Genomic DNA, 17,812 nt, shown 5'->3' with positions numbered 1-17,812 from the left:
TGTTATTTTACTGTTATAAAGAGTACAAGAGTTTATCTACTAATTTAAAAAATATGTAGTGCCTTTATTTGAGAATTAGCCTGTGGATATGCATTCACTACAGAATCATATTGAATTTTCCTTTTAGGAGGAGAACATTTTGCTTCTTGGCATTCATTACTTTGAAATATTTTGACAGGTTACTTTGATTTTGATATTATTATTATTCGTGCAAACTTATACCTTTCTGAAACTTGTTCTCAAATGATAGCAGAGTAATTTTGGAAACATATAATATGTCCAGAAACGTTTGAGTAATGTGTGCTGTGCTGATTTCCTTTATTTTTTAAGGTGAGTCCACTACCATGCCATGCTGTAGGACCCTACTCTTGTAAAAGAGTTTGTGGAAGAATCTTGGATTGTCAGAATCACACATGTATGAAAGAATGCCACAAAGTAACCAAAACTGATGGCTGCACTGGAAAAAACAAGGTAATGTTCTTAGATTGAATGTATATCTGCCCATAGTATTCTTGAAACGTTTTTTCAACAGTTATACCATAAATATTTTTCTGTTTTGCTTTAGCTTCCTGTCTCTTTTTTTGCCCTCATCCCTTCTCCTTCTTTTCCTTTCCTAAGACAGCTGGCCTTAGACAGCTTGGTGTGTATAGTTCTGTGTCTTTATTCCAGCTCATAATAATGTGCCTTTTAATGTGGAACCCTTTACATACTGTACCTGTGTTAATACATAGGATATGGTTTTATGATAAAAATACATAGGTTATGTATCTTCTTAGATAGTAAGTAAGAGTATCACCTCCATTTCTCTCTGTTCATATCTGAGTTTAGAGCATTTACTCTAAGTTAGTTTTCAAACCTGACACACAGGATGGATGATGTTCATAATTTTAATAAATTTAAATAAATTCCCAATCTTTTGTTAAAAGTAAAATAAATGGCATCACAGATGAGCAGTGTTTCTGTGTGTATAATTAACTAAAAGCATTTTACAAGTGTATGAGAACTCAGCTTTTCAAAGATCTCTGAAAATTGTCATCTTACAAGGAAAAACAAATGTAGCTAGTGTTAAACTTTAGTTTTAAAATAATTTTTTTCTAGACTTCCGTTCTGTAGGGAGTTGTAATACTAGTGTCTAAATGAGAAATAGGCCAGAAAATTTTAAGTGTCACTTTATTATTAACATTAAATTTACAACTATTTAAATTATTAATATGACTTATGTTATTGAAAATTTTAGTTGCGTCGTTAGGTTATTTTTTTGGTCTTTAATTTATAATACATGACAACATAGGTATTCTTCTTTTTCATGTGCAAACATGTGTAAATGTATTGCTTTTAATTTCTTCATTGATCCATGCCTTGACCCTCAAAAATGTACTCATGATAAAACAAAAAAGATGCTAGAATTATAAAATCAAACTAACAAATAATGATACAAAATCATTTTAACTAGTTAGGGTGTAGCTGCTGTATGGCTTCCCTCTTCCAGATTTCCAGAATACGGAGTGAGTCAGAAAAAGCTTATTTTCAAAGCTGATATGACTATTAGAGATTTATTGTGGATTATCCCCAAATTGCTTCCTGGGTTAAAGCTTCTGTTTTTCTTTTTAAATGAGAACTGCGTATGATATTTGACAGATGGACTTGCTGTATTTCTTAACTAAGATAGTCTTTCCTAGAAGATAGAACTTGATATTGGAAGTGATCCAGGAAGATAATTTAGTAAGTGTAGATTCAGTGATTTTTTTTGTTTCTGCCATAGCTGGAAGGAGCTCATATTCTAAGTATACTCTTTGTTTTGCAGATAGGGAAACTGAAGCTCTGTGATTTGTCCATGATTCTGCAACAGGAGAGTAGCAAATCAGAAAGTACTGTGCCTGATCTTTTAACTCCCAGCCCAATGTGCTCTTCTACTCATGTTATTTAAATAGAAGATTTTTGTAGGTGTACCACATAGGAAGAGCAAATGAAATAAACTCTTTAGGTGAACTTTGGTTCTTTTTGCATATTTTGTTACTCACTGCCTAATATTTGCTCAGTCTTTCCCATCTCAGAAAGTCATTTTACCGTTTTTACCCAGTTGTGCAGATCAAAGACATAGGAATCATGCTTGATTTCTTTCTTGTCTTTGTTGTCCTTTTCCCACAGAAAATCCTGTTAGGTTTGTCATCAATAGATCCTGAATCTGACAGTTTCTCATAACCTGTACCACTACCACCCTCATCTAAGCCACCATTACCTTTGACTTAGATTTCTGCAGTAATTTCCTAACCAACATTTCTACTCACTTTGTTTTACTGCATCAGCCAGATTAATCTTCTAAAAAATTTAAATCAAGTATCATCTTTCTGCTCCATATCCTTTGGTAGTTTTCAGTCACTCTCAGACCAAAATTTAAATCCTTTTCAATGGCCTGTAAAGGCTCAGTAATGATCTAACTCCTGACTATCTTTCCCAACTTTCATCTGACTTCTCATCACTCTCTTGCTTACTCACTTCTGCCTCTGTTCATCCTGTTACTTGAACATTCCACATTTGTTTTTTCTTAGACCCTTTGTACTTGTTCCTTTCCTCTGGAGCTCTCCTTTCTGGTTGTTCTCTCCTTCATTTAACTCAATTTCTATTCACATGTGATCTTTATCAGTCAGGCTTCCTTCTTGTTGCTGCCATCACTCTTTCTTATCCTGCTTTATCTTTCTTCAGAGTAGTTACGAAGACATTATATTCATGTTCTTTACCTCCTCACATAAATGTAAGTTCCAGGAGCCTATCTCATGTCTTCCCAGTGCCAAGAACAATGCCTGGCACATGTTTTTAAAAAATAATTTATAAAATAATATTTTTATAATTTGAAGCACTGTTTCTTTTTAATCCTATATGTCAAAAAATAGCTTAGAATTTTATAATAACTGTTGTAATCATGGCTTCTCTTTGGAATGATAATAAAAATGTTTGACCTTTAAGATTTAGTATCCATGTCTATAGCTCTCTTATTTTACCTCAAGTATGACGTGAGAAAACAATATCCTGAAATAAGTATTTTTAACCTTCTTTAGTAGATTATAATGCTAGTTAACATTATTAAATCACTAGAGAAAAGGGAGGTGCCTTGTTAAGTTACGTTGAGGTACATTTATTTGTAAAATGTAATTTAACTTTAATTCATTGATGTGCATTAAAATATAAACTACTGGTCATTCTTTTTTCATTGTATATGTGTTTCTCTTTGGCAAGATGAGATAATTACCTCCAGACTGTTTAGTGCTTTGGAATTTTTATTTATGTGTTAACAGTGTATTGATTTCTTTAGTTCAGTGTTGATTATCGTATAGAAATGAATGAACATTCTTACTCTGTATATTTTATTTCTGTCTTTGACGATTCTTTAGGAAGTAATTTACATTTTTAGTGGGATACTTTATATAGTCCATTTTAAGGTTCCTTTAAAAATGAGGCAGTTTGACTTAATGAGGCTCATAGGCAAAAAAATCTATATGAATAATAGTCATATTGACAATCTTGCTGTTCTTTAGTTTGAATATTTTTAAGATAAATGAGAGCATGTACCGTTTGATTAACTCTGTTTCTAAGAACTGCAGAAGTACTTTATTTTAATGGGATATATAAATTTTATAACTGTAACATATGGAAATGTTAGGCTTACCTTGTACTTAGGTGATTTATTTCCATGCTGTTTTTCAGGCTGGCCCAGAATGCCTTCATTGTGAGGAAGGGTGCTCCAAGTCACGGCCACTAGGTTGTCTTCACCCATGTATTTTGCGATGTCACCCTGGAGAATGTCCACCTTGTGTTCAGATGCTTAGAATAAAATGTCACTGTAAGATCACAAGCCTGTATGTGGAATGTAGGTAAGTAGACTGAAAAAAAAGTCTTATTTTATTACAATTAGTTGAATTGGTATCTTTTTATAATTAAGAACCCTTTATAGTGTACTTTGCTTAAACTCTAGATGCCTAGATTTTCCAGTAGAGACCTGGAAGGAAGACATGTAGAATACTACACTTTCTGGGTACTTCATCCTGAATTCAAACAGGGAAATTGTGCTTTTTTTCCATTTCGGGATTCTGTATAAGATTTTGTTATGAAAAAAATGGTTTCACTGCTTTTAAAAAAAATTTAAATACTCCTATACCTGATAGTTTGACTATGTCAAATTAGAATTTTTTTCAATCAAAATTTGACTTGTACATACAGGCACACCTTGTTTTATTGGACTTCACTTTATTGTACTTGGCAGATACTGAGTTTTTTACAAATTGGAGTTTGTCAACCTGCATTGAGCAAGTCTATTGATGCCCTTTTTCCAACAGCATATGTTCATTTTGTGTCTCTGTCACATTTCGATAATTCTCACAATATTCAAGCTTTTTCATTTCATATCTGTTATGATAACCTGTGATCAGTGATCTTTGATGTTTCCATTGTAATTGTTTTGGGGTGCCATGAACTGCACTTCTGTGAGACAGTGAATCATTGATAAATATTGTGTGTGATTGAACTGCATCACTAGCAGTTCCCCTATCTCTCTACCTCTTCTTGCGCCTACTTATTCCAAGAAACAACAGTATTGAAATTAGGCCAATTAATAACTCTACAGTGGCCTCTAAGTGTTCAAGTGAAAGGAAGAGTTACATGTCTGAGTTTAAATCAAAAGCTAGAAATGATTAAGCTTAGTTGAGTCATGTCAAAAGCTGAGATAGGCTAAAAGTTAGGTCTCTTGCACCAAACAGTTAGCCACGTTGTGAATGCAAAGGAAAAATTCTTAAAGGAAATTAAAGTTCATTCCAGCGAACACAGAATGATAAGAAAGCAAAGCAGCCTTATTGCTGATATGGAGAAAGTTTTAGTGGTTTGGATAGAAGATCAAAGCAGCCACAACATTTAGAGATGTTCCTAACTCTCTTCAATTCTGTGAAGACTGAGAGAGATGAAGAAGCTGCAGAAGAAAAATTTGAAGGCAGCATAGGTTGGTTCATAAGGTTTAGGGAAGAAGCCATCTCCATAACATAAAAGTGCAAGGTGAAGCAGCAAGTGCTGATGCAGAAGCTGCAGCAAGTTATCTAAGAAGGTTTAGATAAGATCATTGATGAAGGTGGCTACACAAAACAACAGATTTCCAATGTAGACAAAACAGCCTTCTGTTGAAAGAAAATGCTATCTAGGACTTTCATAGTTAGAGAGAAGTCAGTGCCTGGCTTTAAAGTGTCAAAGGACAGGCAAACTCTCTTGTTAGGGCCCTAATGCAGCTGGTGACTTTAAATTGAAGCCAGTACTCATTTACCATTCTCACAATTATGCTAAATCTAGTCTGTGCTCTATGAATGGAACAACAAAGCCTGGATGACAGTATATCTGTTTACAGCATGGTTTACTGAATATTTTAAGCCCACTGTTGAGACCTACTGATCAGAAAGATTCCTTTAAAAATATTACTGCTCATTGACAATATACCTGGTTACCCAAGAGCTATAATGGAGATATACAAGGAGATGAATGTTGTGTTCGTGCCTGCTAACACAACATCCATTCTGCAGTCCATGGTTCAAGGAGTAATTTCAACTTTCAGGTCTAATTTTTTGAGAAATAAATGCCAGATGTAGGTGGTGATTTCTCTGATAGATCTGGGTAAATTGAAAACGTTCTGGAAAGGAGTCACCATTCTAGATGTCATTAAGAACATTCATGTCAACAGGAACAGGAGTTTGGAAGAAGTTGATTCCAGCCCTAATAGATGACTTTGAGGGGTTCAAGACTTCAGTGCAGAAAGTAACTGCAGATGTGGTGGAAATAGCAAGAGGACTATAATTAAAAGTGGAGCCTATAGATGGGACTGAATTGTTGCAATCTCATGATAAAACTTGAACAGATGAGAAGTTGCTTCTAATGGATGAACAAAGAAAGTGGAATCTATTCCTGGTGAAGATACTGTGAACATTGCTGAAATGACAGCAAAGGATTAGGATTTAGAATATTACCCAAACTTAGTTGATAAAGCAGCAGCAGGTTTGATAGGAATTTTGAAAGAAGTTCTACTGTGGGTAAAATGCTATGAAACACAGCATCACATGCTACAGAGAAATCTTCCTGAAAGGAAGAGTCAATTGATGCAGCAAACTCTATTGTCTTATTTTTTTTAATTGCCATAGCCACCTCAATCTTCAGCAGCCACCACCCTGATCAGTCAGCAGCCATAAACATCTAGGCAAGATGCTCCATCTGTGAAAACATTAAGACTGACTGAAGGCTCAGATGAGTGTTAGCAGGTTTTAGTAATAAAGTATTGTTAAGGTATACACATTGTTTTTTATGATGTAATGCTATTGCATACTTAGTATATTGCAGTATTGTGTAAACATAACTTTTATATGCACTGGGAAGCCAAAAAATGTGTGTGACTTGCTTTAGTATGATATTCGCTATATTAAGGTGGTCTGGAACTGAACCTGCAATATCTCTGAGCTATGCCAGTAGTTGACTTAGGCATAATTTTTTTTTTCTTTTTTTTTTTTTTTTGAGACAGAGTCTCGCTCTGTTGCCCAGGCTGGAGTGCAGTGGCACGATCTTGGCTCACTGCAATCTCTGCCTCCTGGGTTCAAGCAATTCTCCTGCCTTGGCCTCCTGAGTAGCTGGGATTACAGGCACGTGCCACCACACCCATCTAATTTTTGTATTTTTAGTAGAGATGGGGTTTCACCATGTTGGTCAGGCTGGTCTCAAACTCCTGACCTCGTGATCCACCCACCTTGGCCTCCCAAAGTGTTGGGATTACAGGGGTGAGCCACCATGCCCAGCCTACTTAAGCATAATTTTTAAGTTATAGATTTAAAAGGTAGGCCTTTATTACAAGCGTTGCTGTTATAGCACCTATCACACTAGGATATGACCAAACCAGTATGTTTTCTTCATTTAAAAAAATGCCAGTTTTTGCTTATGGATTATTTAGATAGAAGAAAAAAATTTCCCTTTTATTTAATAATGATATAACATAATTTACCACTTAACTCTCCTGGCTGTTTCACTCCAGTCCGTAAAGTGAGCTTTTTGTAAATATATTTTCCTCAAGTTTCATTTGGGAATATTACTTTATTTCATATTTTTTAGCATAATTACATTTTGAAAAATTCCTGTTCATATTAGCTAACATTTTTGTTCCCTAAACTCTAGACTCATGCTTTGTTAAATTATAGAAGACAAATTTTATTCTTTTCTTATATTAAAGTTATTTTGTTGAAATCTCAAAAATAAAGTATTATAATTTTTAGTCTTAGAAGTTTTGTAGGGGGAATTTAGAGGGCAATTTTACATTATTAATGGATAGTAATGAACTTGGGCAGTGTCACACCTGCATTCTGTTTATTTATATAGCTTGTTCCTCATCAAACTTTCACCCACGAATTTTAGCATCCATTGATGATTCTGTTGTAAATGAGTTGTTACTACGATAACATTTGAGAAAATAGAAAAAGCTCTCAAGAACAACACACGTGCATGTGTGCCCAGATGCTTCATTAATGAAACCCTTGACCATTTAATCCCAGTGATACTACATAAAGTATTCTAGAGCATAGAAACCCATGGAAATAACCAAGTGTTTTTTTGTTTTGTTTTTGTTTTTTTTTTTTTTGAGACGGAGTCTCGCTCTGTCACCCAGGCTGGAGTGCAGTGGCATAATCTGCTCACTGCAAGCTCCGCCTCCCAGGTTCACGCCATTCTCCTGCCTCAGCCTCCCGCGTAGCTGGGACTACAGGCGCCTGCCACCACGCCCAGCTAATTTTTTGTATTTTTTTTAGTAGAGACAGGGTTTCACCATGTTAGCCAGGATGGTCTTGATCTCCTGACCTCGTGATCTGCCCGCCTCGGCCTCCCAAAGAACCAAGTGTATTTTACAAAACAAATAAAAACTTGCCAAGTGGGAATTTTCTAACTCCATCTTCTACATTTATTAATTGACATTTTACTGTAAGAGCTCTCCCAACCTCGTATGTTAATACTGGCATGAACCAGTGGATTCTTTATTTGGTCCTTCGCCATCATTTTGATGTTTAATTTATTGAACATCAAAGGCCCATGGGAGTGTCTTTAAACTGGTTCTCATGTCCCTTTGATGTGTTTCCATCTTTGTTTTAGTATTTTCTTTTTTTTTCTGGCTAATAAAAATGGCCCAGGCTCATCTTGTACTTTACATATCCTAGCCCAGGACTTAGACATTTCTCTAAGGGCCTTTTTAATGGGCAGTGATATTTAAAAGCCACTTGGTGTGCTTTTTGCTCCTTGTGTTTCATTGCTTCTAGGCTCTCTGTTTTAATGAGGACCATTTTAAAATTTATTTTAGTGAATTGGCTGTTGACGTCCTTTGCATATTTTTTTTTTCCTTGGGGTTTTGGTCTCTTTCTTTACAATACTTTTGCCTCATAATGGATTTCTGTCATCTCCTATCATTGGTTAACATCTCCAGTCCAGTGTTAAATAGTATTGGCCCTGCCTTGTTTCTTTCTTTAGAGGAATTACTTCCTGTATTTCTACATTATGTAAGATGTTGGCTTTGTCACCATGTTGGAGTATCCAACAATTTCTGTTTTCTTGAGTGTGTGTGTATATTTAAATAAGATTGGATGCTGAATTTGCCAAATGATATTTTAGCATCTGTGGAGATAATCATTAGATCTGTTGATTTGGATTTGCTAATGTTTAGGATTTTAAAAATGTTCATTAATTGTATTAGTCTATAATTTTTAAATTTTGTATTGTCTTTGTCAGATTTGGGTATCAACGTTACGTTTGTTTTATAAAATAAACTTGGCTATTTCCTTGGTTTTCTATGCTTTAGAATATGTAGTATCATTGGGATTAACTGGTCATTGAGGGTTTTATGGAATTCCTCTATGAAACCATCTGGGCCTGATGTGTGTGTGTTGTTTTTGATAACTTTCTCTATTTTTTCTAATGAAAATTTCTCTCTCTTATGGGGTCATTTTTGGAAAACTATTATTTTCCTTAGAAATTATCTATTTCATCTAGATTTTTCAAATTTATTTGTATTTAAAAGTTTGTAAAGTAGTTGCTTACCGTGATTAAAATTTTGTTGTTGTTTTATGATTTCCCCTTGTCATTCTTATTTTGAATATTTTTGCTTTCTCCTTCTTTCTTGAGTGTTAGGTAGTAAATTTTTTTATTTTAAAAAACTTAGGATTTTGATTAACTGGATTGACTGTTCTTTTATGGTTTACCACATTTTTTCTGCTCTTATTTTATTATTTCCTTTAAAAAGAAATTTCTAAATTTCTTTAAGAAGAATTGAGAATTTAATTCATTTATTTTCATGCTTTCATTTTTATCATAGATGTGCTTAAAGCTTATGGATTATTTATTGCTTTAGGTATATTCCATATATTCATGTATATACTACTTTCTTTGTATTTGAGAGTTTCTATGTCTTTACATTATACTTCCTCCTATAGTCAAGATTTTTAAAATAGAAGATCTAGTTTTATTGCATTGTGATCAGAGCATGTGTTTGTAATATTTTTCTAATTTATGGAACTTAACAGTGCTTCCTTTGTAAAATAAGGTGATCAATTTTTGTGAATGTTCCATGTGCTTGAGAAGATGTAATATCGTAAAATCAGGATATAAGATTTGGGTTGTGTGTGTGGATCATGTTTTAATACAGTAGCTTTGTCTTATATTGAAAATGCTGTATTACAATTTCATATTATTAGTGTGTTTCTTTTTGTTTGGTTTTTGTGTTTTGAGACACAGTCTTACTCTATTGGCCAAGCTGAAGTACAGTGGTGTGGTCATGGCTCACTGCAGCCTTGAACTCCTGGGCTCAAGTGATCCTCCCGCCTCAGCCTCTCAAGTAGCTGGGGCTACAGGCACATACCACCACGCCTGGATAATTTTTAAGAAACTTTTTGTAGAGTTGTGGTCTCATTGTATTGCCCAGGTTGGTCTCAAAACACCTGGGCTCAAGAGACCCTCCTGCCTCAGCTTCCTAAAATGTTGAGATTACAGGCATGAGCCATCATGCCTAGCCTGTTAGTGTGTTTCTGTATCTCTTTGCAGCTGCTGTAGTTTTTGCTTATAAAGATGATTAAGCTGTTATATGTCATACAGAATTTTTAATAATTACGGCTTTTAGCATTGAAAGGTATCCTTTGTTACATTTAATACTTTTGGCTTGAATTCTTATGCATCCCCTTTTTCATTTTAGTAGGCAAGTTAAGTAAGTCCTTTAACAATTTTTAATATCACTAATATCTTTGGTTTAGCTCTGAATTATTACTTTATGATTACTGTTTGTATTATGTCACTTTTTCTTTATGTGATACGTTTTCTTTGCTCTTACAATTTTCTCCTATTAAGGTTTGTTTTCGTTTAGTGGTTGATTACTTTTTTTTTTTGTACGTTTTTAATGTCTTTAGACCCTTGTTTCTTCCATCTTTTACTAACTGGTTTGTCAGCTTTTAATTTTATCACCTGGTTCTCATTTAAGACTGTATGACAATCAGTGAGTTTGTTTGCCTTTTTTTCTCTCCTTCTCTTCTCATTGTTTAGTTGCATGTTTTATTCTTTTTCAGAACATATGACATTTATATATTATTCTACCCCCATTCCGACCTTTTTTTCTTTTTCTTTTCTATTTTTTTTTTTTTTGAGACGGAGTCTCGCTCTGTCACCCAGGCTGGAGTGCAATGGTGCGATCTCGGCTCACTGCAAGCTCCGCTTCCCGAGTTCACGCCATTTTCCTGCCTAAGCCTCCCGCGTAGCTGGGACTACAGGTGCCCGCCGCCACGCCTGGCTAATTTTGTTTTTGTATTTTTAGTAGAGATAGGGTTTCACCGTGTTAGCCAGGATGGTCTCTATCTCCTGACCTCGTGATCCACCCGCCTCGGCCTCCCAAAGTGCTGAGATTACAGGCGTGAGCCACTGCGCCCAGCCCTTTTTTTCTTAGATTTTCAATTTTGAATTTCAACCATCAGTCTTTTTGCTGAAATTTCCCAATCTTCTCTTGGTTGAATGAAGTGCATCCTCTAGTAGTTTCTCCAAGAGAGCTTGTGAGTATAGTATTCCCTGAATGCTTAATTCTTAAACATTCCCTTGCATGTTTTAAGAATGTTTTGCTATAGCATTTACAGTTGTATAAAAAGTCTTTTATTGATGCGTTCTTTCCTAGAGTTTCTTGGAAATGTGGCTCTATGCTGCTTTCGTTTATATTTTACTTTTGAGAAATTTGATGCCAGTCTCTTCTCCTTATGAGTTAATTGATCTTTTTTACCTGGGACCCCTAAAGTTGTTTCTTTCTCCTTCACTTCCCTCCTCCTCCTCCTCCATCTTTAAAATCTAATGTTTTTATTAAGGTACGACTCAGGGTTAATAATTTTTGATAAATTTTTTCAGGTACCTGATTAGCCCTTTCAACATATAAGTTCAATATTTTTATTTTCCTGGATTATAGTTTTAAATACCAGATCTGTTTCATTTATTTTGTTTTTTAGTGATATCAATTGTATATATGTTGGGTTTTCTTTTTCTGTCTCCCATTTCACTCAATTACTTCTTTGATACTTTTTTCTATATCTCATTTTTATCATCTAGGATGTTTTGCTGCCTCGTTTCAGGGAGCCTTATTAAATTTTGATTCAAGTATGTTCTTCTGTAAATATGTTCTTTCATGAGCACCTTGTAATTTAGTTTTTATTTCTGATGTAATTTTATCTTAATTTTTTTTTTCCTGAATTCAATCAACCTTTGTTCATTTCTTCTCCATTATGTTCTTAGGTTTTGCTTTTCTGACTTAAGGTGGTAGTGTATTGAAGAGCCCTATACCATGCTCATATTGGGTAATTTGCCAGGACTCACAGGACTCAGCATATAGTTATACCTACTGCTATGAGTTATTACAGCAAAAGGGTAGGAGGCACAGTCAGCAAAGGGAAAAGGCACATGAGGTGAAGTGTAGGGCAAACCAGTCACAAGCGCCCAGAGTCTGCTCCCAGTGGAGCCACATAGTTTGTACTTAATTCTCCCAGCACTGAGTTGTGACAACACTTGTAAAATGTTTCCAACCAGAGAAGTTCATTAGAGCACCTAGAGTTTTTACTGGGGGAAGGCTACATAGGCAGCCTCACCTGGTACATACCAGAGTTCAGGGCTCTCAAGAGGGAAAGCAACTGTTCAGCATAAACCATTTGATTTATACAGTTTAGACATAGTCAGCTGTTCTTACCAGTTCTGGGAATGGTGGGAACCTTCCTGAAATCCAGATTCCCAAGCACCAGCCAAGGGCTAGTCTTACAAGGAGGCCTTTCAAAAGATAGTGGTCAGGTCTGCTAGGTTAACACTTCTGTATAAGCAGTGTTTCATATAGTTAATTCAGTTTGGAATATTATGTTCCAGTTTTCTTCTTCTTTGTACTTCTTTTTTTGGGTGGGAGATACAGGAGGGGATTTTCATCAGCAAAAAGGCTTTGGATGTCATTTTCTGTTTATTTTCTATAGTAGTTTTTTATAGTTGTAAATTACATATCTTTATGTTTTTGGACAGAGCTTAGTATAAGATTTCTAGTTGATGACCACTCTCTTGCCAGTGTGGGAAAATACAATTTTTTAAATGGTTGGCGTTTGAGGGTGGTACTGAGAAGAGGAGAGGAGTTATGTGTCCTTATTTTACTTTTGTTTTCTTTGGTCTTGCAAAATCCTAAATTTCCCTTCTTTTGCCGGGTCTAAAGAAGTCTGCCTAAAGTCTGCCTTTCCCTTTTTACCTTCTTCCCAGAGTGTTGCCTTTCCAAGATTGGCTACTTGAATCTTGTGTACTTATTTTATTTTATTTTATTTTGAAACAAGTCTGAAGTCTAAAGTCTGCCTTTCCCTTTTTACCTTCTTCCCGGAGTGTTGCCTTTCCAAGATTGGCTACTTGAATCTCGTATACTTTTTAAATTTTTTTTTATTTTTATTTTTTGAGACAAGGTGTCTCTCTGTCTCCCAGACTGGATGCAGTGGCGCACTCACGGCTCACTGCAGCCTTGACCTCCCAGGCTCAGGTGATCTTCCCACCTCAGCTTTCCTAGTAGCTGGGACTACAGGTGCACACCATCGCACCAGGCTAATTTTGGTGTTTTTTTGTAGAGACGGGGTTTTGCCATGTTGCCAAGGCTGGTCTCGAACTCCTGGGCTCTGGCAGTTCACCTTCCTCGGCCTCCGGCAGTTCACCTTCCTCGGCCTCCGAAAGTGCTGGGATTAGAGGCATGAGCCACTGCACCCAGCCTGGTGTACTTGTTAAAATCCATTCCCTTTAGTTAGTGCTGTGGTCTACCAGGGTATTTTCAGTATTTTCATATTTAGGGGGACCTTTTTCTGTTGTGATTTTAGCTCAGCCTCCTCTTCTGTTTTTCATTTAGTTTTTTTCAGAACTCCACTAGCTCTATGAAAATACTTGCATTGGGAGCTTGAAAAATAGCTCTCTCAGGAGTTGTTTTTTTTTTTTTCCTAGTTATAGGTAATTTGAAGTTTGTAGAAATTTGTGTCTTCTAGTTGTGCTGTGGTCGTGGGATTCAGTGATTTTGTTATTAATGAGCTATATGTTTTTTGAGGGGGACATGTGGATATATTTGGATTAAGGTGGCTTCCATTACCTCAGCACTACAGATTTTTTTTCTTAAATACATATTAAAGTATATGTTTTAATATAGAATTCTATCGCTTCAGTTCTAATAATTTCGTTTGCTTTCAATTCAGTGAATTATTTAAGTCATCTTTTCCTTTTAGTCCTGTGTGGAAAAAAACACAAACTGTTTTTCCTCTGCTCTTAAAACACAACAATCAACACAAAAGACTTTTGTGACCAAATGTGTGGGAGTTTCTTTCAACCAAGAAGAAAACAATCACTTCTGTAGCAGGCACCAGCTGGGTGTCCTCTAATTCATTTCTGAGACTACCTGGAGAAAGTGTCAGATCCTGTAGGTTGAGGGCTTAGTCCCACAAGACTGCCTTCCCTTCAGACACTGGTCTGAAGTTCAGGCCTCTGGAATCTCTGACTGACCGGCTTCAAGTTTAGGTTCACACAGCCCCCTCTTTGGGTTTGATTAATTTGCTAGAGTGCCTCATAAATCTCAGAGAAAAACTTAACTTATGTTTACTGGTTTATTATAAAGGATATTGCAAAGTATACAGATGAAGAGATACATAGAGTGAGGTATGAAAGAAGGGGTATGGTGATTCCATTCCTACCCCTGCCCCACCATTTGCATGCCACCCTCCAGGAACCTCTGTGTTCAGCTATTCATAAGCTTTTCGTACCCTATCTTCTTGGGCCTTTATGGAGAATTCATTGGATAGGCATGATTGAAGTATGGACACTCATGTAGAAGTGTGACTGGACAGAGGGTGTGATCTAGTAATTATAGACCGAGTAGGGAAACCCAACAAGGCCTGTTTCAGTTCTTTTTGGCCTGTGTGTACAGCATTCCTTCTTCCAGAGTATGGGACAGGACCCCTTCTGAAATGGGGTCTTATGACCTACAATCAGACAAGGTAGGTCAGAGAATTTCTTTACGGCCTGCTCAAGACAGAAAGGCGGAGGAAGGTTATATTTTTAGTTTTAATGGCATGCCTTGGGGAAAAATAACAGGGGCTGTGGGAGTGATGAGCCAAGAACCGTGGACGAAAACCAATATGTATATATTATTATACCATAGTCTTTTTCTGCTTCATGTTAATTTCTTCTGTAGAATTTGGATGTAAAAGATATAGAACTTGAAAAGTTAATTTATTCCTAAGTATAGAGTAACAGGAATAAAATAATATTAACTCTTTAAGTTCAGAGGTGAACATTATACTTGTAAGAATCTTAAAAATGCAAGTGTTTAATAGAGCCAGCATAAAAACTTTGTGGTATTAAGGGGAACTTTGCCAAGAAATATCTTAGAGTATATTTATAGCTAATTTAGTATGAATATTTAGATAATAGTTTTAATTAACATTAAGGAGACTGAACTTACGGTATATTTTGGCAGTTATGTCTGGTGAAAGCAAGAATAGGAAAAGTAAGAAAATACAGAAAAAAGGAAAGGAGAAAAAAGGTATGGGAAACAGAAAAGTGAGACGCAAGTGATAGGGAGTTTTAGATTGTCACTAGTTACTGACTTAGGCAGTGTCTGTTGGAAAGTAGGTTTATTCCTTGGTGTTTGTGACTTTTTTCTGAATTACTCACTGAGATATAAAAGCATTTTAAAGTGCAGACTGTTCAAAAATGATCAGATCTAAAGTGAATTACTATTTTATTTTATTTTTTTTGAGACAGAGTCTTGCTCAGTCACCCAGACTGGAGTGCAGTGTCATGATCTTGACTCACTGCAACCTCCGCCTCCTGAGTTCGAGCGATTCTTATGCCTCAGTCTCCTGAGTAGCCAGGATTACAGGCATGCACCATCACACCTGGCTAATTTTTGTATTTTTAGTGGAAATGGGCTTTCACCATGTTGGCTAGGCTGGTCTCGAACTCCCAGCCTCAAGTGATCCACCTGCCTTAGTCTCCCAAAGTGCTGGGATTACAGGTTAGAGCGACTGTACCTGGCCTAAAGTGAATTAATTTCTAATATTAATAGCTTACCCAAGCTTTTTAAATAAGTTAATTTTATTTCTCACCAAATAGCCTAAATTCCTCAATTTGAACATATTAAATAATTAGTTTTAAATTTTTTTATGTAGGGGCATTAACAATTGTAATTATGAATTATAATGATAAATCTATAGGGAAAGATAGTTACAGGAACTATTAAAGAGAGGCCAGGCCCAGATGATATTTTGTGTGTGTTTTGTACTTCTTGCAGCGATTACACTTTTGGCATTTGACTTGTTAGTAGTAAAGGGCTGGATGGTTTGAGTTATCAGAACAGTTGAGTAATTTGAAGATAATTGTTACAGATAGAGAAATAATTAAAGTATTTCTTGAGGAAAAAAGATAATTTTATGGATATGTTTGAAATTATGAGTTATTTTTAGAAAAATTATGCTATAAAATGGATTTTTGTTTGAATGTCATCAACTTTCTTATTTTTAGAAAAATAACCACAGCTGATGTAAATGAAAAGAACCTCCTCAGTTGTTGCAAAAATCAGTGCCCTAAAGAGGTAAGCTTTAGTAGAACCTTTTAAATTGTATTCCTTGGGCATTGTTTCTCTTGGATTTTCTTTTTTCTTGTTTGGTCAAATTATTTCAGGTCTTCTCTGTTGTATCTTTTTAAATAAACACGTAAGACATATAGTTAGGGTAGATGCATCTCATTTTATAAATTTGGTGATATTAGGACCTGAAATGACCCTTTGAAGATTTTTTTTAAGAAAGCAATTTTAAAGATAGCTTACATACTTTATACAATAAAGTATTGACCTAGTGCTTATCCCTCAAAATGTGATTCATACTTAAAGTAGGTCAGGAATGATGTGGGTCATAGCAGTTAGACAGTAAATCCATAATAGGTTATTTTTAAAAATAGGGGTGCGTGTGTGTATGCATGTGCATGTGTGTGCATCTGTGGTGGAATAATGTGCGAGGATGGCTATTCATATCCACAGCATTTTGAAGATGGTGACGTAGAAGATACCTCTGCATTTTCATTGTGGCCTTTTGTGTTGGTACCATTCAGATCATTGAGCCTTTCAAGTTCATTACTATATTAATATAAAACATTCATCTATAAAGTTGTGTTTTTAAAGATTCTTGTGGTTGTCTAAGCATTTTATTCAAACTAAAACTGTCAAAAAGTAGTTAGAAAAAATTGTGCAAAGTAAAAAGGTAAAGAAACTCACTAGTGATTTATCCTGGTAATAATTTGAGAAACCAAAGCAGTCCTTCTACATTTGGCCAATCTGAAAGGGAAGATGCACTTTTGGATTTGGGAGTGGGACAGTTAAAATTACTTGATTTGGGTAGACATTTAAAAAGGAATCCTTTTGACTTACAGATGTACTATATAGTATCTTTTTCCTTTAAATTGTCTTTATGCCCTTATCTAAGTGTTTATCACCTTATTTAGAGTCAGAAATAGATGACAACTAAGTGTTAAATATCATAATCAGTCTTTGATTAAGTATAAAACAGGAATCAATACATTACATACCTTTTTAATATTTTCCTTTAACTAAGGCTTTGGACCACTTTTTATGGATTTAAGATCTGTTGGAAATTGAGAGTTTTTAAATTTATGTAAGATTATAAGAAGAGAGGCCATTTGAAGTAATAAATGGTTGTTTTAATAATCCTGTCTTTATAAGTGAAACTAGGGCATGGGATATTTCAAATTTAATTTTTTGAATTATTCAAATCCTGAACTTCCCTTGTTAAAATAAATTTTATTCTATCCCAATTCAGATTCCAGGTAATAAGTAGTTGGGAATGTTTTATTTTTAATCTTAGTAACCTGGTATGATTTATTAGATAGAAATATGGTAATTTAATTCAGGTGTTGCTAATTTATAACTTAGAATTGCCTTAGCTATAAATAAGTTGTGATGCTATGACTTTTGGTGGGACTAGATGGGTCATTTTCATGATTGTGGATTCTAGGTCCTTCTGGAGCCCCTGGTATTGCTAGATCTCCTTGGGCTTTCTTGAAAAATGTATCTGTAGCCTGGGAACAATTCAAATGGCCGTTATAGTTTGGAACAATCTAAGAGTAGACAGGTGAATTTCATTGTGTCTAGTAGAACTCATTTTCGTTTATGGTCTCTTGACGTTGGTGACACCATAACAGTAATTCTGTTGCTTTAACATTCATTAGAATCACTTTAAGG

General features: G+C 35.3%; 1 protein-coding gene and 1 long non-coding RNA gene across 6 annotated transcripts in view; one reads left to right on the top strand and one right to left on the bottom strand.

Annotated features, from left to right (window-relative positions):
* The window catches only part of LOC101927179 (uncharacterized), a 65,504-nt gene that overhangs the window by 17,853 nt on the left and 29,839 nt on the right, over window positions 1–17,812 (bottom strand). Inside the window, exon 2 of one of the 2 annotated variants that reach the window (NR_125880.1) lies at window positions 3,665–3,819. This is a non-coding gene — a long non-coding RNA (uncharacterized LOC101927179). The remainder of the gene's footprint in view (window positions 1–3,664; window positions 3,820–17,812) is intronic. The other variant, NR_125881.1, reaches the window with a different exon arrangement.
* The window catches only part of NFXL1 (nuclear transcription factor, X-box binding like 1), a 67,435-nt gene that overhangs the window by 35,672 nt on the left and 13,951 nt on the right, over window positions 1–17,812 (top strand). For 3 of the 4 annotated variants that reach the window (NM_001278623.1, NM_152995.6, NM_001278624.2), the window contains exons 17-19: window positions 331–471; window positions 3,703–3,869; window positions 16,081–16,150. In NM_001278623.1, the coding sequence (NP_001265552.1) occupies window positions 331–471; window positions 3,703–3,869; window positions 16,081–16,150 (378 nt within the window). Of the gene's footprint in view, window positions 1–330; window positions 472–1,804; window positions 1,985–3,702; window positions 3,870–16,080; window positions 16,151–17,812 lie in introns of all 4 variants that reach the window. The other variant, NR_103795.1, reaches the window with a different exon arrangement.

The sequence above is a fragment of the Homo sapiens genome, chromosome 4, assembly GCF_000001405.40.
Source record: "Homo sapiens chromosome 4, GRCh38.p14 Primary Assembly".
In the NCBI taxonomy this organism is placed as follows: Eukaryota; Metazoa; Chordata; class Mammalia; order Primates; family Hominidae; genus Homo; species Homo sapiens.
Note: the sequence above shows the minus strand (reverse complement) of the source record. Positions and strands in the feature narration are given on the sequence as shown.